The sequence below is a fragment of the Homo sapiens genome, chromosome 4 (assembly GCF_000001405.40).
Source record: "Homo sapiens chromosome 4, GRCh38.p14 Primary Assembly".
NCBI classification, from domain to species: Eukaryota; Metazoa; Chordata; class Mammalia; order Primates; family Hominidae; genus Homo; species Homo sapiens.
In genome coordinates this window covers 106,095,025-106,118,389 of record NC_000004.12, presented here as the reverse complement: position 1 = coordinate 106,118,389, position 23,365 = coordinate 106,095,025, and the positions used below count along the sequence as shown (strand labels likewise).

Here is a 23,365-nt window from a genome sequence, read left to right as displayed (position 1 = left end):
TAGCAATTTCCATTTCTATTTAAAAGTTAATGAAGTAAGAGAACAAGTGCTTTACCACTGAAAAATTCAGAGTACAACTGGGGAAACCCAAGGGGTGAGAGCTGACATGAAACTCCAATTGAAAACCATTTTTTTAAATAAATCTATCTGGTAAATGATTTATATGGTTTATTTTTTGTTACCTACAAATTCTAAATTGGATATTCTAAGTGTAGAATTCCACAATGTAACTGAGAAAAAAGAGAAAATGAGTAAACGAGATAATTATTAGACTCTATTTTGATAACTTATGAAACATAAATTAAAAATTTTTTGAATCCTCATATGTTAATCACTTGATTTTTTAAAGTGTTTGTGTGTTTTTTTGTTTTTTTTTTTTTTGAGACGGAGTCTCACTCTATCACCCAGGCTGGAGTGCAGTGGCACTATGTTGGCTCACTGCAAGCTCCGCCTCCCGGGTTCACGCCATTCTCCTGTCTCAGCCTCCCAAGTAGCTGGGACTACAGGCGCCCACTGCCACGCCCGGCTAATTTTTTGTATTTTTAGTAGAGACAGGGTTTCACCGGTTTAGCCAGGATGGTCTCCATTTCCTGACCTCGTAATCCACCCACTTCAGCCTCCCAAAGTGCTGGGATTACAGGTGTGAGCCACCGCGCCCAGCCTAAAGTGTTTAAATTCTCAAGTCATGTCACATAAGATTTCAAGAGATCACTAGTGCTCAATAAATTTATGTTGAATTTAGTTGTGTTGTATTGCATTGCCTATTATGGGGAAAGGCTCATCCTTCTTCTACTAAGAAACATAGAGAATAATTGTAAATAGCCCTTAGTCTGAATCATTTTTATGCAATATCATAGACACAAACCAATGGATGGGTTTGATAGCCTGGAGTCTTAAGTTACCTCCTTCACAGTTAAGACACATTGTTAGTTTGGTTTACTATTTAAGAAAGCATTAGGGTGCTCTTTATTCATCTCTGAGAATCAAGTTTCCACTCAACCATTTATATATAACATAAATTATATTATAAAAGTCCAACACATATATTAGAACCAGTTTCTTTAATTACTATGTATGCCTAATTACAGTGCAATTTCTCATATTACCTGAGTTAAAATTAATGCAATTCAAAACAACAGTAGTTTATATTTAAAGAAAAGTGAAATGTACTTAAAGGAGCTGTTTTTTTTAAAGCACTCTCATAAGGAAATCTTTGCCTCATCTCTTTCTACATGTTTGACCCAGGAGCTTGCAGTCAATCAAAACAATAATGCTTTCCTATAAGTGTAAATAACAAAGAAGTAAACCTCAATAGTAAGGTATCAGTTACACCAGCGGTCCCCAGCCGTTTTGGCACCAGGGACTGGTTTCCTAGAAGACAGTGTTTCCATGGACTGGGTTTGAGATGGGGGGGGGATGATTTCAGGATGAATCAAGCACGTTACATTTATTGTGCACTTTATTTATATTATTATTACATTGTAATATAAAATGAAATAATTATACAACTTACCATAAGCTAGAATCAGTGAGAGCCCTGAGGTTGTTTTCCTGCAACTAGATGATCCTATCTAGAGGTGATGGGAGACAATGACAGATCATCAGGCATTAGATTCTCATAAAGAGCTTGCAACCTAGATCCCTCACATACATAGTTCACAACAGGGTTTGTACTCCTATGAGAATCTAATTCCACCACTGATCTGACAGGAGGCGGAGCTCGGACTATAACGGAGCAATGGGGAACAACTGTAAATACAGCTGAAGCTTTGCTGACTTGCTTACCATTCACTTCCTGCTGTGTGGCCCAGTTCCTAACAAGCCATGGACCAGTACCAGTCCATGGCCTGGGGGTTGGAGACCACTGAATTACACAATAGACTGTGAAAATTAGATAGTTTCCTCTTCTCTTATATGCTGTATTGTTTGGTATCAAGATATTCTATTACTGGGGATAATTTGTTTTTCTATAATATTCTCAATATTTTTTTTTGTACATTTTTTTTTTCAGTCAAGAGAATCCATCCCATTAAATGACCTGAAGTCAGAAGTATCACCACGGATTTCAGCAGAGGACCTGATTGACTTGTGTGAGCTCACAGTGACAGGCCACTTCAAAACACCCAGCAAGAAAACAAAGTCCAGTAAACCAAAGCTCCTGGTGGTTGACATCCGGAATAGTGAAGAGTATCCTTTGCATATGCTGTTTTAAAGGGTGGTACTGCTTATTTGTATTGCATCCTTTCATTTAAGTGTTGTGTGGTTAAAAAAAAAAAATTCTGGGATTCTTCTGAATTCAAGTAGTTAAATTACTCTCAAACTGGATGCCAGAATGGTCTTGCATAAGGTTTTATAAGATAACATTACATACCAGAGACCTGATGATATTTTCCAAACAATGCCAGAATATTGGGATATTTTGTTGTTTTTTGTGTTTCTCTGGTGTATATTGCTATTCTTGAAGGCATTTGAATCCTTCATGCTGTAGATAGGAATTGTGGCAAAGATAAAGAGTAAGTATACACCTGTTTTACCTCATAGCCTAGAGAAAAAGTTTGCTACATCTCAACACTGACCTTGTGTTCATTATAATTTTCAAAACACTGGCTTACATAGAACATGTATTTTCACTAACTACAAAATGTTATTTACGAAGATTTTACTATTGAACATACTGTAACATCCAGTGGGTTTGATTGGCATTAGAGTATGAAGAGTTACAAAATAGTAACAGTTCAGTCTCTTCTCCTTCTATTTTCATTATCTTCAGATTCTTTGATTGTGTATTTTCTAGAATCTAGATAAATGGTTTTCACTTTGTTTAAAAACAGAGCAACTTTTAAAATCTTTCTTAGAAACTCAATATATAAAATATAAATGAATGTTATAACTAATTTGCTTCATAAGTTCAGATTTATAACATTTACTAACTATAAATGCTATAAATGAGGGTTAGCAGGTTAATGGTTTCTTATATGCTAAAATTGGCATATACAGGTTGAGTATCCTGTGTCCAAAATGTTTGTGACAGTATTTCAGGTTTCATATTTTGTAGGATTTTGGAATATTTCCATTATATGTATATACTTACCAGTTCAGAATATCTAATCCAAAAGGCTCTAATGAGTATTTCCTTTGATCCTGATGTTGTTGCTCAAAAAGTTTGATTTTGGAGCATTTCAGATTTTAGATTTTTGGATTAAGGATACTCAATCAGCAATAAGTTTTCATGTTAATATTTTCAATTCCAATTTTTGAAATGAAATTCAAATTACACATTTACAGACTTTATTAAGTAATTCATAGAATCTTAGGTTTCTGACAGTACAATTGGAGAGCTCACAATTTCAAATGATATATTCTTATCATTTTGTGAAAAGTTGCTACTTTCTATTTTTCTGAGTTTGGAGAGAGTATAAATGTTGATATCCCTGGTTGTTAGGGTTTCAGCAATACTAGAAACTCTTTGCAGAGTGGATGAGTGGACTCCCGAATGAGGCATTAAATTCTATTTAACTGGTCAAGAACCCCTAGTCTGGAAGTTCTTCTGATCTTATACTTCAGGAGTTTAGAATCTGTTTAATGTTTTTAACTTTTTAATTTGTATTTCTTTTGCTTGAGTCTTTATTCATAGCAATTCTCCCATAAAACCATAAAAAATAACATTATAACACCCTATTTTAATCTTAAAGATATTTCTTCCATTCTGTAGGTTGTCTGTTGCCAGGTCCAATCTGCAGACCCTGGCCGAACAACGGATGTAAGAATGCAGTCAGACGCAGGTATCCAGTGAAAAAGCGGGCTAGAGGACCTGGCTGCTTATAGACCCCGAGCAGGGTGCTGTAAAGAGTCAGCAGCTGTAGCCCTGACAAGCTGGTGCTGCAGGCATTTATTTAGTTACAGATTTAATGACAAAGGCTTTGAGTCAACACACTTTTGCGTAATTAACATAGTCACCCTGCCCGGAGATAGCAGTCATGCATGGGGATGATTAAAGGCCAGGTTCCAAGTTAAACTAACTTACCTAGATCAATTCCTTTATATCTCTTTGCTATCTAACCTTTGCTCTCAAGGTCCAGATAAGAGGGTTTGGCTACCTTCAGCCAAATCCATTTCCGAAGCTGTTGTAAAACCTCCCCGCCTTCCAAGAAGGTTTGCATCTTTCTACAATTTTTCCCACCACCCTGACTGATCTCCTACATCTCCCCCTTTTCTGTTTTTAGCATCAGGTTTTGTTGATTGAAGAGTACAGATGTGTGCAGCAGCAGGTTTGTCAGGTGTGGCGGGCACTGCTCGCATTCCGGCTTTGCATCCTAGAATTAGTAAATAATAGAAGACAAATATGAGTATAATTAGCCACATTCTTTTCCAATTAAGGAGTGACATGTAGTGTTACTTGGCATCTTAGTCCAATGTGTGCCGTTATTGAGGAACCCCACTTGGGGCATGTCATTCCCTCTTAGCCAAGCAGTCGTGTTGTTAGAAGCTGAGAAGGGGGTGTTTGTTTAAATAATAGGGCTGAAGAAAGGCGTATCTAAGAGATGGGCCCAATAGAGAGTAGCAGGTGAGGGTTGCAGGTAAAGTGAAAGAATTAAAAAGGTTAATAAAGCATAGGAAGGAACAAATTATCTGGAGTGAATGGTGTCTGTGTCCAGAGCAGATTCGCTCAGTCTTCTGACTTCTCTTCTTCAGCGTCCTGTCCAGGGCCTATGTCGTCCGAGGAAGCCACATTTTCTGGGGCTGTAGGTCCTATAGGGTCATTTTCTTTATTTCTGGTACCAGGTTGGGTCCTAGCCATGCTATGGTAAGGTTTGATGGATCGTGCTGGAATCCAAAGAGGACCTGAGGGGGTGTGAACACAAGCATATCCTCTCCCACATGTTAACAATTCATTTGGACCACACCGTACATTACTGTTTACATCTTTCCATAAAACTGCAGGTTTTATGTCTTGAGAGGTTTTAGCAAAGTGCTTTTCTACAGCTAATTGAAATTTATCATCTAAATTTTCAAAATTAAGGGTAAATAAGGCTTGTGCTAGTAGTGTTGCAGGGTCCTTACTCATATTCCCCCTTTTTTGTTTTCTGAGCATATTTTTAAGGATAGAGTGAGTATGTTCTACTATGGCCTCTCCTTGGAGGTTATAAGGGATGCCTGTGGAATGTTGGATATTCCACTGTGACAAAATTGTTGAAATTGTGAGCTGGCATAAGCCAGACCATTATTAGTTTTAATTTTTGTAGGCCACCCCATAAATGCAAAAGTTAAAAGACGATGTTTAATGACATATCGGGTGGACTCTCCAGGAAAGGCATGAGCGCTAATTGAGAATTGTTATTAATGGATACATGTACATATCTTAGTTTTTCAAATTCAGGCACATGTGTAACATGGTGTTTGCCATAACTGATTAGGTTCTAGTCCTCTAGGGTTAACACCTGTATAAGGAGGGAACGTGCCTGTGAGCTGGCAATCTGGGCATTGCCGGTTAATTTGTTTAGCTAGTCTCTGGGTAAGTTGAAATTGTTCAGATAAGTTTCTCCAGTTTTGGTGGAAAAATTGATGTGACTGGGTGGCTTGGTCAAACAGTGATGTTCTAACTTGTACGTCTGCTTGATCATGGTCATAAGCCAGTGGGCCAGGCAGTGAGCTGTGGGCTCAAATATGTATGATAAAAATAGGATGTGTATGTTGATCTAGCAAATGCTGAAGTCGGAGAAAAAGTGCATACAGGGTGGGCTCCAGAGTGGACTTAATGAGGGCCCTCTCAAGGTTCTGCAATAAATAAACAGAGTAAGCAGACTCACTAACAATATTGATGAGCTGAATGGAAAAAGTTTCCAAGGCCAATAGTAAGGCTCCAATCTCAGCCCTCTGAGCGCTAGTAAATCCAGAACAAGTGAGGGAATTACGTGATTTCCACCAGAAAGTGACTTTTCCATGTTTACCAGAGCCATCAGTAAACACTGTTAAAGCATTAGATATGGGGGATTGAACTGTTTTAGTAGGCAAAACCACAGAAGTACAAGATAAGAACTGAAGGAGTTTGTCAGCAGGAAGGGCATGCTCTATATGGCCTTTGTAATCAGAGAGTGCTATTTGCAGGTCCATAGATAAGGCAATACTGCCTTGAATTGCTTTTTACTTAAAGGAATCCTGATGATATCAGGGTCATAACCTAGCAACTGATTGCATCATCTGCATCCTGAATAAATGACTTTACTGACTAACTGGATATAGGGAAAGAGTGTTTTAGTCCCGGTATGTGAGCAAAAAACCCATTCTAGGAAGCGTAGCCCTGGGGTCATCTGTAGGGGAGTGTTTAGTGGGAAAAACAAATAATTGAACTGAATACCATGTATCAATGCAATCTAGTTGTCTCTGAGAAATAGCTTGCTCTATCTCTTCAATTTCCCTTTGTGCTGCAGGAGTTAAATACCTAGGAGAGTCTAGGGCAGCATTGCCTTTTAAGATGGAAAACAAGTTCTGTAACTTATCAGTAGTTATGTCCAAGGTGGGGCAAATCCAGTTAATATTACCTAGTAATTTCTGATCATCATTTAAGGTATGTAAGTTGCTAGTATTTAATTTAACCTTTTGAGGTCTTACTGACTGGGAAATTAGTATGTACCCAAGATATTTCCAAGGAGAAAGACATCTGTACTTTTCCAGGTTCTATGATTAAACCTCTTAACTGTGTATTCTTTACGACAGAGGCATGTGACTTGAAAAGTACTAGCTCTGTTGGGGCTGCTAGTAAAATATCATCTGTAAAATGAGTAATCCTGCAATTAGGAAATTCTTTTCTACTGGGGAGCCAAGCTTGATTTACATGATACTGACACATGGTAGGACTGTTCAGCATTCCTTGAGGAAGCACTTTCCAATGAAATCAGTGAGCTGGCCTTTCATTATTGATAGCTGGTATTGTAAATGCAAATTTTTCTCTGTCCCGTTCTGCAAGGGGAATAGTATAAGAGCAGCCTTTTAAGTCAATAATGATTATAGGCCAGTCTCGAGGAATTGCCACGTGGGAGGGGAGCCCCTGCTGAAGGGGCCCCATAGGTTGCAAATTAGCATCAATAGCACGTAAGTCATGCAAAAGTCTCCATTTACCAGACTTTTGGGGAATGATGAAAATGGGCAAATTACAAGGACTGTATGACGGTTCTATATGGTCAGCTTTTAATTGCTCCTCGGCTAATTCATGGGCTCTTTATAATTTCTCTCCCTTTAAAGGCTACTGTTCTACCCAAATAGGATTTTGAGAGAGCCACGTTAGGGGTAGGGGAGAAATAACAGTGGCCATTGTTAGAAAGAGGTCTGCAGAGTGGCCTCAGTTAACCCTCTTGTAAATGGGCTAGTGGCTCCGTTTTCTTTAATGCTTTTTTTTTTTTAGCTCTTTATAAGCATTAAAAGAAATGATTGCCTTGTTGATCTTGCATTACCAGGCAGGCTAAGAGCTCCCCATCTAATGCTGCTTGCGTAAGACAGCATATCCCTTGTCTTTTTTCCAATTTTTTGGATGAGGGGCCTCAGGCAAAACCTCCATTTCCTCTTTGTTATTTTTTCCTGGAGACAGCGGGGCTGAGGGAGATGGAGGCAGTAAGGTAGGTGACAGTTCTTCCTCCCTTCCCTTTTTAGGCTCTTCTGTGTAGAGTAGGACCAGAGCCACCCTAACTAAAGCCCATAACGTTAAAGATGTTATTGGGACCCATTGCCCTTGTACATCATGTTGTTTAAGATTTCTACCCACTTGTTCCCAGATCTCCAAGTTTAGTGCACCTTCTTTCAGAAACCATGGGTTATGGGAAACAGTAGTTTGCATTAGGTCTCTTAATTGAGCCTGCGAAACCAAGGCTCTGCTACCTTTAAGCAGCTGTTTCAATGCTTTTATATACTGTTGCTGTTGAGCTGATAACTGTTGTCCTATGATGAAACCCTAGCCTGAACAGTTCTCTCCAACTTGGAAATCCTGAGTGGGCACCAATGACTTACTGACTTACTGACTGCGCAGTCTTTTCACCTTCATTTTTGAGGGTTCTATCGCAGTCCATTGCAGCATTCCTCATGTGGAGCACCACCTGCTGGGTCTGACCCATAGACCCTGGCTGAATGATGGATGAAAGAATGTACTTAGACACAAGTATTGAGTGAAAGAGTAGGCTAAGGGACCAGACCGCTGACAGAAAGAGTTGTAGCAGCCGCAGCCCTGACAAGCTGGTGCTGCTGGCATTTATTTAGTACAGATTTAATGACAAAGGCTTTGAGTCAACACACTTGTGGGTAATTAACATGGTCACCCTCCCTGGAGAGAGCAGTCCTGCACGTGGATGATTAAAGGCCAGGTTCCAAGGCCTAAATAAACTAACTTATCTAGATCAATTCCTTTATATCCCCTTGTTATGTAACCTTCGCTCTCGGGCTCCGGATAAGAGGGTTTGGCTGCCTTCAGCCAAATGCTTTTCCAAAGCTTTTATAAAACCTCCTGGACGTCCAAGAAGGTTTGTGTCTTTCTACAATTTTTTCCACCACCCTGACCAATCTCCTACAGTCTGTTTACTCTGTTGATAGTTTCTTTTGCTGTGCAGAAGCTCTTAAGTTTAATTAGGCCCCATTTGTCAATTTTTGCTTTTGTTGTGATTGCTTTTGGTTTCTTTCATGAAATCTAAACCCATTCCTAGGTTTAGGATGGTATTGCCTAGGTTGTCTTCCAGGGTTTTTATAGTTTTGGGTTTTACATTAAAGTCTTTAACCCACCTTGAGTAGATTTTTGTATATGGTGTAAGGAAGGGGTCCATCTTCAATCTTCCGCATATGACTAGCCAGTTATTCCATCACCATTTATTGAATAGGGAGTCTTTTTCCCATTTCTTGTTTTCTGTCAGCTTTGTCAGAGATCAGATGGTCATAGATGTGTGGCCTTATTTCTAGGCTCTCTATTCTGTTCCATTAGTCTATGTGCCTGTTTCTGTACTACTGCCATGCTGTTTTGGTTACTGTGGCCTTATAGTGTAGTTTGAAGTTGGGTAGCATGATGTCTCCAGCTTTCTTCTTTTTGCTTAGCATCGTCTTGGATATTCGGGCCCTTTTTTGGTTCCATATGAATTTTAAAATAGTTTTTTCTTGTTCTGTTAATGTCACTGGTAGTTTGATAGGAGTAGCATTGAAACTGTATATTGCTTTGGGCAGTACAGCCATTTTCATGATATTGATCCTTCCGATCCATAGCATGGGATGTCTTTCCATTTGTTTGTGTCTTCTCTGATTTCTTTGAGTAGTGTTTTGTAATTCTCATTGTAGGGGTCCTTCACCTCCCTGGTGTGCTGTATTCCTAGGGAGTGTGTGTGTGTGTGTGTGTGTGTGTGTGTATGTGTGTGTCAGTTGTGAATGGGATTGCCTTTCTGATTTTGCTTTCAGGTTGGTTGTCGTTGGTGTATAGGAATGCTAGTGATTTTTGTACATTGCTTTTGTATCCTGCAACCTCACTGAAGTTGTTTATCAGCTGAAGGAGCTTTTGGGTCAAGACTGCATGTTTTTCTAGATATAGAATCATGTCATCTACAGAGATAGTTTGACTTCTTCCCTTCCTATTCGAATGAGCTTTATTTCTTTCTCTTGCCTCATTGCTCTGACTAGGACTTTCAATAGTATGTTGCATAGAAGTGGTGAGAGAGGGCATCCTTGTCTTGTGCCAGTTTTCAAGGGGAATGCTTCCAGCTTTTGCCCCTTCAGTATAATGTTGACTGTGGTTTTGTCATAGATAGCTCTTATTATTTTGAAGTATATTCCTTCAATAGCTGGTTTATTGAGAGTTGTCAACGTGAACAGATGTTGAATTTTATCAAAAGTCTTTTCTGGATCTGTTGAGTTAATTATGTAGTTTCTGTCTTTAGTTCTGCTTATGTAATGAATCACATTTATTGATTTTTTGCATGTTGAGCCAATCTTGCATCCCGGGGATGAAGCCTACTTGATCATGGTGAAGCAGCTTTTTGATGTGCTGCTGGATTCAGTTTACAAGTATTTCATTGAGGATTTTTGCATCGACATTCATCAAGGATATTGGCCTGAAGTTTTCCTTTTTTACTGTGTCTCTGCCAGGCTTTGGTATGAAGATGATGCTGGCCTCATAGAATGAGTTAGGTATAAGTCCCTTCTTCTCAATTTTTTTGGAATAGTCACAGTAGGAATGGTACCAGCTCTTCCTTGTACATCTGGTAGAATTTGGTTATGAATCCATCAGGTCCTGGGTTTTTTTTGGTTGGTAGGCTATTTATTACTGATTGAACTTCAGAGATCATTATTGGTCTGTTCAGGGAATCAGTTTCTTTCTGGCTCAGTCTTCGGAGGGTGTATATGTCCAGGAATTTTTCCATCTCTTCTAGGTTTTCTATTTGTGTACATAGAGCATATGGTTATTTTCATTTCTGTGGGGTCAGTGGTTACATTTCATTAGTCATTTCTAATTGTGTTTATTTGGATCTTCTTTCTTCTTAGTCTAGCTAGTGGCCTATCTTGTTAATTTTTTCAAAAAACCAACTCCTGAATTTATTGCTCTTTTGAATAGTTTTTCATGCCTTGATTTCCTTCACTTCACCCTGATTTTTGTAATTATTTCTCAGTTCTATTAGCTTTGAGGTTGTTTTGTTCTCACTTCTCTAATTCTTTCCATTGTGAAGTTAGGTTGTTAATTTAACATCTTTCTAACTTTTTGATGTGGACATTTGGTGATATTGTATTTCCCTCTTAACACTGCCTTAGCTGTGTCCCAGAGATTCTGGTATGTTGTATCTTTGTTCTCTTTACTTTAAAAGAACTTCTTGATTTCTGCCTTTTATTTTTTACCCAAAAGTCAATCGGGAGCATGTTGTTTAATTTCTATGTAATTGTATGATTTTGAGTGATTTTTATTGTGTTGACTTCTATTTTTATTTTGCTGTGGTCTGAGAGAGTGTTTGGAATGACTTCAGTTCTTATACATTTATTGAGGATTGTTTTATGTCCAGTTATGTGGTCGATTTTAGAGTATGTGCCATGTGGTAATGAGAAGAATGTATATTCTGTTGGTTTGGGGTGGAGACGTCTGTAAAGGTGTGTCAGATTCATTTGGTCCAATGCTGAGTTTAGGTCCTGAATATCTTTGTTAATTTTCTGCTTCAGTGATCTGTATAATACTGTCATTGGAGTGTTGAAGTTTCCCACTATTATTGTGTGGGAGTCGATGTCTCTTTGTAGGTCTCTAAGAACTTGCTTTATGAATCTGGGTGCTCCTGTATTGGGTTCATATATATTTAGAATAGTTAGGTCTTATTAAATTGAACCCTTTACCATTATATAATGCCCTTGTCTTTTTTTTTAAATCGTTGTTGGTTTGAAATCTGTTTTATCTGAAATTAGGATTGCAATCCCTGCTTTTTTCTGTTTTTTATTTTTTTGGTAGATTTTTCTCCATCCCTTTATTTTGAGCTTATAAGTGTGTCATTATGTGTGAGATAGTCTCTTGAAGAGAGCATATTATTGGGTCTTACTTTTTTATCCTGTTTGCCACTCTACCTTTTAAGTGGGGTATTTTCACCCTTTACATTCAAGGTTCATATTGATATGTGTGGATTGGGTTTTGTCATTGTGCTGTTAGCTGGTGGTTATGTTGGCTTGTTTGTGTGGTTGCTTTACAGTGACGTCGGTCTGTGTGTTTAAGTGTGCTTTTGTATTCACTGGTAGTGATCTTTCTATATTCAGTGCTGCTTTCAAGATCTCTTGTAAGGCAGGTCTGGTAGTAATGAAGTCCCTTAACATTTGCTTATCTGAAAAGGATCTTATTTCTTCTTCACTTAGAGAGTTTAGTTTAGCTAGATATGAAATTCTTGGTTAAAGATTTTTTTTCTTTCAGAACATTCAATATAGGCCCCTAATCTCTTCTGGCTTTTAGGGTTTCAGCTGAGAGGTCTGCTGTTAGCCTGATGGGAATCCCTTTGTAGGTGACCTGCCCGAGTTCTCTCTAGATGCCTTTAACCTTCTTTCTCTCATTTCGACCTTGGAAAATTTGACAATTATGTGTCTCATGTATGATCTTGCGTAGAATCTTGCAGGAGTTCTCTGTATTTCCTGAATTTGACTCTTGGCCTCTTTAGCAAGGTTAGGGAAGTTTTCATGGAAGATATCCTGAAATACATTTTCCAAGTTGTTTGCTTTCTTCCCCTCTCTTTCAGGGATGCCAATGATTCATATATTCAGTCTCTTTACATAATCCCATAATTTTCAGAGGCTTTGTTCATTCCTTTTTATTCTTTTTTTTTTTATTTTAGTCTGACTGCCTTACTTCAAAGAACCAGTCTTCGAATTGTGAGATTCTTTCATCGGCTTGGTTTATTCTGCTGTTAATACTGGAGATTGTATTGTGAAATTCCTGTGTTTTTCATTTCGATTATCTTTGTTCCTGTCCATATTCTGAATTCTGTTTCTGTCATTCCAGCCAGTTCGGCATGATTAAGAACTCTTGTTGGAGGACTGATGCAGTCATTTGGAGGACACATGATACTCTGGCCACTTTAGTTACTGGAGTTCTTGCATTGGTTCTTTCTCATCTCTGCATGTGGGTGTTCCTTTAACTGTGGTGTAGATTGAGTACAGTCAATAGACTTATTTTCTGGATATTTTCACTGGGATGAGTATTTGTATAGAGTCTTTATTGGAAGCTGACTGACTGTCTCTGGCTTTAGAGTGGGTTACGTTAGTGAGGTATTTTTTGTGTTGAAGCTTTGGGGTTTATCCAGCAGGTGACACTTAGCCTTATTTGTCAGTTGGTAGACTTTTGTTCAGTAGTGTGGCTCCCTTATGTTTCCTCATAGTTGCAGCCATGTTCCCTCTCAGTGCTCTGAAAGTGTGGGCTCCTCTCCCCCTTGAGTGCCTGCTATAGTTCATGACTTGGCACTCCTGGGCTGCCCACTGCAGCTCTGGGATGATCTCAGAGTTTATATTCCTTCCCCAGCTTAGAGGCAGTAGAGGAAGAGATCTTAGTAGTGGTTGTGGCCAAGGGTCATTTTTTTTTGACTCCTGGGGGCTCCGCCCCAGAGAGATGCAGGTCATCAATCACTCAGCGAAGTCAGCCCAAAATGGAGGTTTGTTCTGTGGGCCCAAGCCAGGAGTTTCCTGTCTGGTGATGAGTTTTGGGGAGTGTGTGGGACCTGTGGGAGATGGACTGGCCTCCTCTCCTTGGTTCAACTGCAGCTTGTTGGAGGTATGGATAAGACAGTTAAGGTCTTTGCTTCTTCATTAGTTCAAGGGTGGCTAGGGCAGTTCCACTGCAGAGACAGTGGCAGAGAGGCTTTTATTTGCCCCTGTAGGCTCTGGGCAGGGAGTTGCTGAGTTCGCACTGGCTCGATAGCTCTGGTTGGGGTGGCTGGAACCCCAGGCCTGGAGGATCTGCCCAGTAAGGAGATGTGGGAACAGGAACCCATGTAATAGTCTGCCCACTTTTCTGTAGGGCTGCTGCAGTATGCTTGGGGCCCACTCTAGGCCCTAGTCATCTCGGATTTTCCAGAACCTGGAGGTGTCACCAGTGAAAGCTGTGAAACAGCAAAGATGGCGGCCTGTTCCTCCCTCTGGGAGCTTTGTCCCAGGGAGGTATGGACCTGTTGGTGGTTTAAAGGCACCTATACCAAGTGTCTGGAGACCCTGGTTGGGAGGTCCTGCCCAGTGAGGAGGAACAGGATCAGAACCCGCTTAAAAAAGCAGTTTGTATTCTGGCCACATTTTGGTAGAGCATCTATGCTGTGCTGTGGGATTCCTTCTGCCTTGAGTCAGCTCAGACTGTGGTTTAAAGGCACTTGTACAAAGTGGCTGGAGACCCTGGTTGGGAGGTCCTGCCCAGTGAGGAGGAACAGGATCAGAACCTGCTTAAAAAAGCAGTTTGCATTCTGGCCACATTTTGGTAGAGCATCTATGCTGTGCTGTGGGATTCCTTCTGCTCTGAGTCAGCTCAGACTGTCCAAAGCCTGAAGGCTGGAATGGCTAAGGTGTCTGAACAGCAAAGATGGCAACCCACCCATCTCCCTGGGAACTCCTTCTTAGGGAGGTGCAGTGCCACTGCTGGTAGCTGGCTGGATCCCAAGCCAGTAGGTCTTATCTTGTGAGGTGCCATGGAAGTGGGGCCTATGGGTTGTTGCTACTCAGCCTTCTGGATTCGGCCTCTTTCCTACGGGTATGTACAGGAGTCTAACCTTCTACTTTGCCAAAGCTGCAGCTACTTTTGCCAGAAAGCCCAATAATAATCTAAGGCTTCAGGGTCTCCACCTATGCCTGAGCAGTTGCTCTGCCAAGACTTCATGTAGCTCTGTCCGTCAGACTGAAGACTGAAGGCCCTGGTGGAGTGGGTTCACAAGGAGATCTCCTGACCTGAGGGTTGCAAAGACCTGTGAGAGAAGTGTGTTTTTCTGGGGCCGTTCATTCACTCACCACTTCCCTTGGGTGGGGGAGTATCCCCTGGTTCCATGTTATTCCCAGGTGGGTCGTTGTCCTGTCTTACTTTTCTTCATTCTCTAAAGGTCAAGTTGTTTCCTTGATTAGTCCCACTGCAAATACCTGGATGTTTCAGCTGAAGGTGTGGTATTTACTTGCCCCCTTCTGTTTTTCTCCATGAGAGCCACACACACTAGCTGCTTCTAGCCACGCACACTAGCTGCTTCTTGAATAGATTGAAGTAAATTGACTTCTAATAATAGCAGTCTTTAAGTTCTTACACTGTACCAAGCATGGTGCTAGTCCTATGCTGTATATACTGTTGTTATCTCTGTTTTACTGATAAACTGAAGTTTAAAGAGGTTAAGCAACTTTCCCAAGGCCATATAACTAGTAATTGCAGAGCCAGTCTTGTGCTTCTAAATTTTACACTATTTTACAGGTGCCTATCTGGTCTCTGCATAGGGACAGTTAAGCATAAACAAGATTGAAACAAATGAGTTAATAGAAATTAATGAGTCAGTGAGACATGCATTGATTCCTCTACACTAGATATATTCATTCAGATGTTATACACATTTCTTCAAATCTTACACACAAAATAAGCTATTACCTTCAGCACCTGTGTGTATAAGAGGACTAATCCCAGATACCAACTGAACAAATCTACCTGTGGTTATCTTTATACAGATGTAGCCACAGAATCGAGGAAAACTGAAGTATTTCAAATTTTAGAAAGCAGTATTGCAACACTTTGAGGGAGGAAACATGATAGAAAGATCCTTCCCTATTATATTGACTTAATTTATAATATTTAATTCATTCAAAATCTTTTTAATAAAAATTTCCCTAAAGCTACTAATATGCTGATGTTTTTTAAAGCCCATTGAAATTTTAATAATATTTTTAAAGTAATTATCTTTGTACAGTAACTCTTAATGCTTACCAAGGTAAATCTTCGCAATTAAAGTCTAGGATTTATGTGACTTTAACAATCTGTTTAAGAAGTGATTACATATTTAATACTAGGATATTTTTGAAATAGTTTTATTTCTCTCTTGCCGCAAAATGTGACCCTGTACAATATGGAAAAAAAAGAAACTTTCTCTAACACCTTTTCCTTCCCTAGAGGAAGCAAATTATTTTTGAAATGTTGTTCAAATTATTTATAATGTCCCTGTATCATGTTTATCTTCTGTTTTGCTTTTATACATCATTTAAATGGGAAGTCTTTGCCTAACACAGTTCTTACATCTTCATTATAGGTGAAGTTTTTTTTTCCTAAATTGTGCTTCCAGGAGATTTAATGTCTAAAAATATATTTCATCTCGTCTTTTTTTTTAACCTATGTAAAATGATTTAAGTGGTTGCTTATGACAGGGAGGGAGGCAATCTTATCCACAGGCAAAATAAGCTGTCTACCAATAAATTTAAGGGACAGCCTCACTACTACCACCAAGCCCCCTTCAGAACCTTCACTTGATGCCTGAAACGCTACTGTTGAGGCTTCAGTCATTTAGCTTGTGTTATGAATAGTCTCAGTTAAAATACAAAAAGCCTGCAGGTGGTAATATTTTAATCTATGTTCAGTTTTTGTGATTGTAGGAGACAAGCAGCACATTAAGGTGCCAGCAATCTTAGGGAACTACCCAAACCCCAATGTGGGCCAAGGGAATGGAGAATACAGAAGAAGAAAGCTGAAGGACATGAAGACAAACTTTACCCACTTAACAATAAAAACATAATCCCAAAACTTTAGAATAAGAAGAAACCCTAATATAGTCTAAACTCTTAATATTAAAGCCAAAGGCTCAGAGAGGCAAAACAACAGTTTTTGTTGAAATCACGTTTTTTTGTTTGCTTTTAGAAGATAGAAACATGAAATGTTAATCTAGGTAAAAATCAAGTCAGATATATTTGTTCTTCAGTATATTTTGAGAATTTCAAAGCAAACAAAAATTGCATTTTATAAGGAGGCAATAGAAAATGTTTTCATGTAGTGACATGAATTTCAGAAGTGATGTTAATAGTTTCCATGGTAATACACAAGCAAACTCTTGTTTTCTTTAATAGTTGTAAATATTTAGGGTTTCAGTTTTCTTGGAAGTTCATATTAAGAGAGGTCTTAGTCATGTAATTGTGGATCCAATTTATTTTATCTGTAAACAGCAATACTTTAAAGGAATGTTACTCATTTGCTTGAAATCAAGGCTGAGTTTTTGCTCAAGGCTGAGCTTTACTTGTAAAACTCTTACCTTTTGATTTTTAAAAAAAAGTTAGTATCTAAAACTATACCAAAGACAACCTCAGGCTTAAATTTGTTTTTTGAAAAACACATAAACCCAGTTGTATTCATTATTTCATTATGGCACATTCATCCTTAGTGAACACTAGTATTACTCTTGTCTCTTTGTCCTTAATAATTGATTTATAAAAACTTCTTCAAAGCAATTTAAAGATACTCATGAGCAGAGCAGGACAGATACTGATGAGAAGGTTTAGTAAGGTTTTTTTCATCTCATTTGGGCTTAGGTTCAATCTATCTAAATTAAAATTTCCATCCAATTGTATTCCCATATTTGAGTGGGCTTTGTATAATGTGGGAGTATATGATAGCAACTGCTGAGCAATGTCTTCATGTCTGGATTGCTAGTTATGAAAGGTGTATTAGCTGTTAAAGAGCTCCGATTTGCTGTGAGAACCATCCATGACCCCAGTTCCTAGAGTGCCATACAGTCTCATTCAATCAGCCAGCCAGTCCTGTTTGAGGACCTGCTTTGCCAGGCAATGGGGATATAGAGTTTAGTTATAGCACCCCTGCCCACCAGAAGCTCACAGTCTTATAACTAAAATAGATACATGAAATAGATAATTGCAGTATAATATGAAATGGCCTATGTCTGAAGCATACCCAAATGTCATGGAAATATAGGATGGGCACCTAAACCAGGTGATGTCTGACATGATTCTTAAAAAACAAGTAGAAGTTAGTAACCTAACAAAGAAAAGAGAGAAAGCATTGAAAAATCACATTGTTTGAGGCCCAGAGAAGGTGAGACAGACACATTTAGGAAGTTACAAGAATTGTGGATGAGCATGTCTGGAATATATGAGAATTAGTAATGAAACTAGAGTAGGTAAAAGTAGCCTCATTGAAAATGTCTCATAACATGCTAAGAAATTTGGGTTTTATTCCAAAGGCAGTAAGAAACTTAAAAAATTCTAAACAGGTAGGTGCCATGCTCAGATTTTTATTTCAGAAAAATTACTTTAATGCATTGTAGAGGATGGATGAGGGTAGAGATAATCTTGCAGGCAAAATTAGGATTGAATTATCCAGAAATTTGATGTGTATAATCATTCATTCATATCCTGTCATAAAGAGTGAGGTCCCTAGCTTTTCCCTAAATAAACCGGTTTTAGTGAGCCTATGCTGAAGAAGATTGAGAGAAATTACTTTTGTTGCTGTTTCTTTCCCTTTTCTCAAAGTGTGTGCTGACAAAGGGAAATTCTATATCGTTGACACTTGCAAGCATTGTTAGATACTGGTGCCACTGGTTGGGGTGGCCAGAAGGCACCTTAGCATATTTGCTGCCGATACTAGTTACTCCAGGTTTGGCAAAATTCTGAAATTCATTTACTCACCAAATATGTAAGTGATGTTCTAAGCATTCTATTAATCCTTGCAAGAGATTCAAAGACGAAATAAATATAATACACATTGTTCCTATCAGTTGTTTAGATAGAAGTCATTTTCATTAGAAAATTTTATATAAAATCAAATTGCTGTTATAAGATATGTACAGATACTGTGGGAAGGGAAACTTTCATGGATGAAACATTTGAAGGATGGATGTTTGAATGCGCAAAAATGAGAAAAAGATATTTGGGCAGAGAAAACTACAGGAGATAGAAAACATATTGGTAACAGTGCATGATTTAGTTTGGTTGGAATTAAAGTAGTTAGGTTCTATTCATGAGGACTGAACTGAGAAATATGGGCTTTGTCCTATAGGCAGTCATAGAAAGTTTCTCAGAAAGGATACAATAATCAGAACACTTTGCTTTTAAATTTTTTCTCTGTCAATATTGTAAATCAAGTGTATTTCCAAGAGAAAAGACAAAAGTTGGAGAAAACAGTTACTACAGTAGTTTAAGCTCAAGACAAATCAATATCTGAAATAGGCAAGGGGTAATGGGAATAAAAATGTGAGTACAAGATTTATTAGAGCTGTAGAATATTGGATGTTGCTACTGATAAGATGTTGGAAATGAGATTTTTGACTGGTTGATTTGGGGGATGGTGATGCCATTCAGACTATCAATAGATTTAGCAAAGAAAATCATGATATCTAAACATCATTTTTATATCAGTTAATGCTATTTAGTTATGGTATATATGAGAGAACTGTGGGTTTAATTTCATATTTCTTTTTCGCTGTTGATATACTAAAGGTAAAACTTTCAGTTTGGGCTGAAAGGTCTATAATACTAATTATAATTAGTTAACCCAGCAGACAAACAGCCAAAAAACAAAGGTAGGTAGATCTTCTTGAATGGTTTGGTGAAATATTGGTGTGTGTTGTCTTTAAAGATACGATGTCACTAAGTGTGGCATCCAGCAAAAATGCTGTGCTCTTTTAGGATGTAAAAAAACATGAGCTGGTTTCTGTGCTGAATTTTAAACAATATTTTAAAGGAATTTTCAAATCTTTTTGTAAATTGAAGAGTCTTTCTGAACATACTTGGTTAACTACCATGTAATTTACCTATACACTGTACCTATATTCTTATACCTGATTTTTTTCTGTTTGATTGAAGTACAGCATATCTACTTACAGCATTGTTTTGTAGACTGAATTATGAATACAGGAAAGTTTTAATATCTTAGAAACCTAGAAGATAATATACATCATCCCTACCTGTTAATGCTATTCTGATAATCCAACTTATTTATCAGAAGTTTACAGTAATTTTTTAAATCTGTCTGTGCATTGGGCTATCAAATTCTGTTTAATGCAAATTTTTGATTTTGTTCTTAGCACACATTCAAATACTTTTGGTAGTATCTGCCAAATGGAATATTGAGCTGAATGGCTTATTTGCAGGGAGGGGTACAACTTACTCCAAGACAGGGTAAGATATATAGTGTAAGGTCACCATATGCCAAAGAAAATTCATATGTTTACTGGAATATATCCTGTAGTGCATTCAGCATAGTAAACAACCATATCCAAACACGTGGTAAAGTGACTGCTACAATAACTGGATGCTTTTATGCTTTCATAACTATTATTATTCCAGTCTAGAGATTTCATTGTAATTACTGCTGACTTCTGTAATGATGTTTTTTATCTTTTAACGCTTTCAAGTATGTCATAAAAAATTCTAATTTCCTATGAACACTGGAAGTTAAAAATTAGTGTTTATGGATACCATTGCCACTTTTGCCAAAACCTAACCAAAAATTGTAATGTCATTGTTGGGATTACAGTATCATGATATATATGTGATTGGGGCTAATCACCCCATAAGTACTTTGGCTACTATTTCCTTAATAGTAATATTTCCTCTGAACTGGGTTCTTTGAAGCTGTAGCTTTTTAAACTCTTAGTTTATAAAATAGCATAGTGACTGACTGTTGAGTATTACACTCATTATAGAACCTCTTTAAGTGTGGTTATTGTTTACCCCATATCTGTGTTTATGTAATGAGAAAGGCCTTTTTAAAATGTAAAACATTAGTGTAGAGGATTCAGATTTTTATCTATATTATACAGAAAGCAGTAAAGTGACAGTCATACTTCAAAAATATGTAGTGTTGCGTGTTCATCTCTAACCCTACCTTTGTGTGAAGGTCCTATGTATACTTGTTTTCCACTGTAATACAGTGAAATAAAACCAAAGTTCTTAGAGCATGGAAAAATGTGCTTATCTCAACATATTCTCTATCATGTCTCTTTCCTTGCCAGATTTTACTCATGACTGATGATAGTCAACTATGGTCATTCAGAGTCACCATATGTCAAAAATTTTCTTCTATTTTCCTCTTTATTTATTTATTCTTTCTAATAAAAAATATACAGAAATCTGTTGTTTGCTCATTTTCCAAATACCTCATATTTTATTCTGATTATGAAGTACTCAACAAGTGAAAAAAGTATTCACCTACCTAGATTTACAATATAATCTGACCACCTCTCAAATGTCTAGAAGTTGCCTAAAGCAGTTCTATTTCACCTAATGCTGTCTGTGTCACATGGGAAATTGTATTGTAGGCCATGTAAATACTTTCCAAGGAAACAAGAAGAGATTTCTAAATAACCAAAGTTGTCTTCATTATCCAACTTATATAAACAACAGGCTATTCATTATAAATATACTTATTTATAACTAGGCCAATCTCATTCTCCTCTGTTTTTTGCCAGTAATACATTCTCCTCTGCTGTTTTCCAGTAATGATAGACGATTTAGAGGTTTGACCACCATGTCTACAGACATTCATGCTTACCCAATCATTTTTGTGCTATAAGTTTCATGACAAGAGTGTTCTTGGATGAGTGTTCTTAGATATTATCCAGGACATTTTGGTTGAAGTAGATTAAGAATAAGGAAAGTGTGGTTTAAAACTCTGTTTCTTTTGTGCCTTATTTTCCAAAGTGTAGCCTAAAAAAGGTTTGGAATCATTTTGTATTTTGAAAAACTTTCTCTTTCAAAAAAGACTCTGTTGCCGTCATATTTTGTGAAGCATTTTAATATTTAATCTAGATTTTTTAAACAAATAATAAATCACAAGGATAATAGGATAATAACTTTATGACATACTTTTAGTAACTGAAAGGAGTTTAGATTAAAATCTTCTTTAAAGGCACATAATAAATAGGTGATATCGAGCCTACAAAATCACCTTAATACTTATCTATGATTATAGATATAGTTACTAGGTATGGTTATTTAGATATAGATGGGTACTTTTTTAACCAAATACAGTATTCACTGAATGTATCTATTAAACAGTTCTTCTTTTAGAGTCAGGGTCTTCTAATTTTCTAATACGTGGCTGAACAAATTTTATGGATGGCTGAACAAATTTTATGGAAGAGGCACTTAAAGGTGATTTTACATGTAAAGCTTAACACAGTCTGAGCATTATCTTTTATGTCTTTTATTTCTGATTTTCAAGGGAGAGAATCTCATTGGCTCAGCCTGCATCATATATCCACCATCACCCTCCCCTCCACCATCCTGTCAGTCATGGTTGTAGCAGGGTCATCTGATACCAACACGACAACCTAGGCTCACCCTTTCCTCAGGGTCAGTGGTTGGTGCTCTTCCAAACAAGAAAACAGCAGGTGGGCAGGCAGCCCAAACATGTCTGCTACAGCATTTCACCAGGATAGATTTGTATTGCTTTTGCTACTCTAAACACACTAAAAAAAGGAAAGATGTTCATAGTTGAAAAGGTTGTTTGATAAATATGGAAACACTCTCTGGCAACTGATTCAGGCCTCACAGATGTAGATATAGGTGCTGAGAATATATGAGTTGTTTGTTAGGTTCTTAGTATGTGTTATAAAAAATTTTCATTTTAAGTAGATCTTTACTGAAAATAAAAGTACTTTCAGTTTTTTAAAAAAGTACCATCAGAGTAATTATATTCTGAGAGAAAAGTCATTACTCTTCAGGAAAACTGCAATTGGGAATATTGAATAATTAGAAATGTTTGAGAAACTAATGCTGATGAAGTTCAAAGGTAATCTACCCATGATCATAAATTCTCTGCCCATTCTAGAAAACTTCAACTAAACAATGCCTACTGGAATGTTAATGTTGATTCTCTCTCCTTTCATTTTTCAGAACTTATTTACAGTTCTTTCTCTCATTATTAATGTCATACCCTTTTCTTTAAAAAAAAAGATGAAGCAGCAGCTGACTAGAAAATTTAAATTGTAAGATATGTAGTCCATCTCCACCATCTCCACTCTTTATAGAACCTCTTTAAGTGTAGTTATTGTTTACCCATATCTGTGTTTATGTAATGAGAGATGCTTTTGATGTAAGATCCTTTTATATCTTTGGCTAGTCATCTTCCTTTCTCTTTTCTACTTCATTTTCAAATTTAACTTTTTTTTTTCTCCTGGAGGTGCCTTACTTCATTTAGATAAAATACTCACATAAGCTGGAAGATGTTTAGTACTATCTTCTGGGAGTCACTTAGCTCTGTGAGTTTCCCTCAGACACTCAGGATTGCACACAAATAAATGTTTTCCTTAAACTTTCCTTCTCAGCTTTATTCGTGGTCACATTTCAGGAAGCATCAACATTCCATTCAGTGCTGCCTTCACTGCAGAAGGGGAGCTTACCCAGGGCCCTTACACTGCTATGCTCCAGAACTTCAAAGGGAAGGTCATTGTCATCGTGGGGCATGTGGCAAAACACACAGCTGAGGTAAGTATATTCAGAAATGTCATATGTACATATGATGAGTGATTTACCTGCCTTCTATATGAAGGTTATCTAAAAGTATATTTCTTCAGGAGTTGGTCACAAATACTATGAGCTTTGAAGATTTGTCTGTGTTCTTATATGGAAGAGTTTGTCTGCCTTTAATTGAAGCATTTTTCCTTCAGTGTTCAGCATCAGAATCAACAGTAACCTTAAAAAATCAAAATAGCCTAAGGCTGTTTTTTTCTAACTGCTTTCTGAAATTGTAAAGAAGTAGCTTGAATTCCCTCCACTGGAGAAAAACAGTAGTGTTCAAGTGTAGGCTCTGAGAGCTGGTCATGATGAGATTTGTTAGATTTAGAAATTGTGTTTACTAGAGACTCAAAGCTTTTTAATGATAGAGAATTCAGGGAGAATGTCAACTGTCAGACATGAGAAGTACATGAAACAATAAAATGGC

General features: G+C 37.7%; 1 protein-coding gene across 17 annotated transcripts in view; it reads left to right on the top strand.

The window, feature by feature from the left end:
* TBCK (TBC1 domain containing kinase) overlaps nucleotides 1-23,365 on the top strand; it is a 275,085-nt gene that overhangs the window by 198,294 nt on the left and 53,426 nt on the right. For 16 of the 17 annotated variants that reach the window (NM_001163436.4, NM_033115.5, NM_001163437.3 and 13 more), the window contains 2 exons: nucleotides 2,012-2,187; nucleotides 22,749-22,908. In NM_001163436.4, the coding sequence (NP_001156908.2) occupies nucleotides 2,012-2,187; nucleotides 22,749-22,908 (336 nt within the window). Of the gene's footprint in view, nucleotides 1-2,011; nucleotides 2,188-22,748; nucleotides 22,909-23,365 lie in introns of those variants that run through there. The other variant, XR_001741353.3, reaches the window with a different exon arrangement.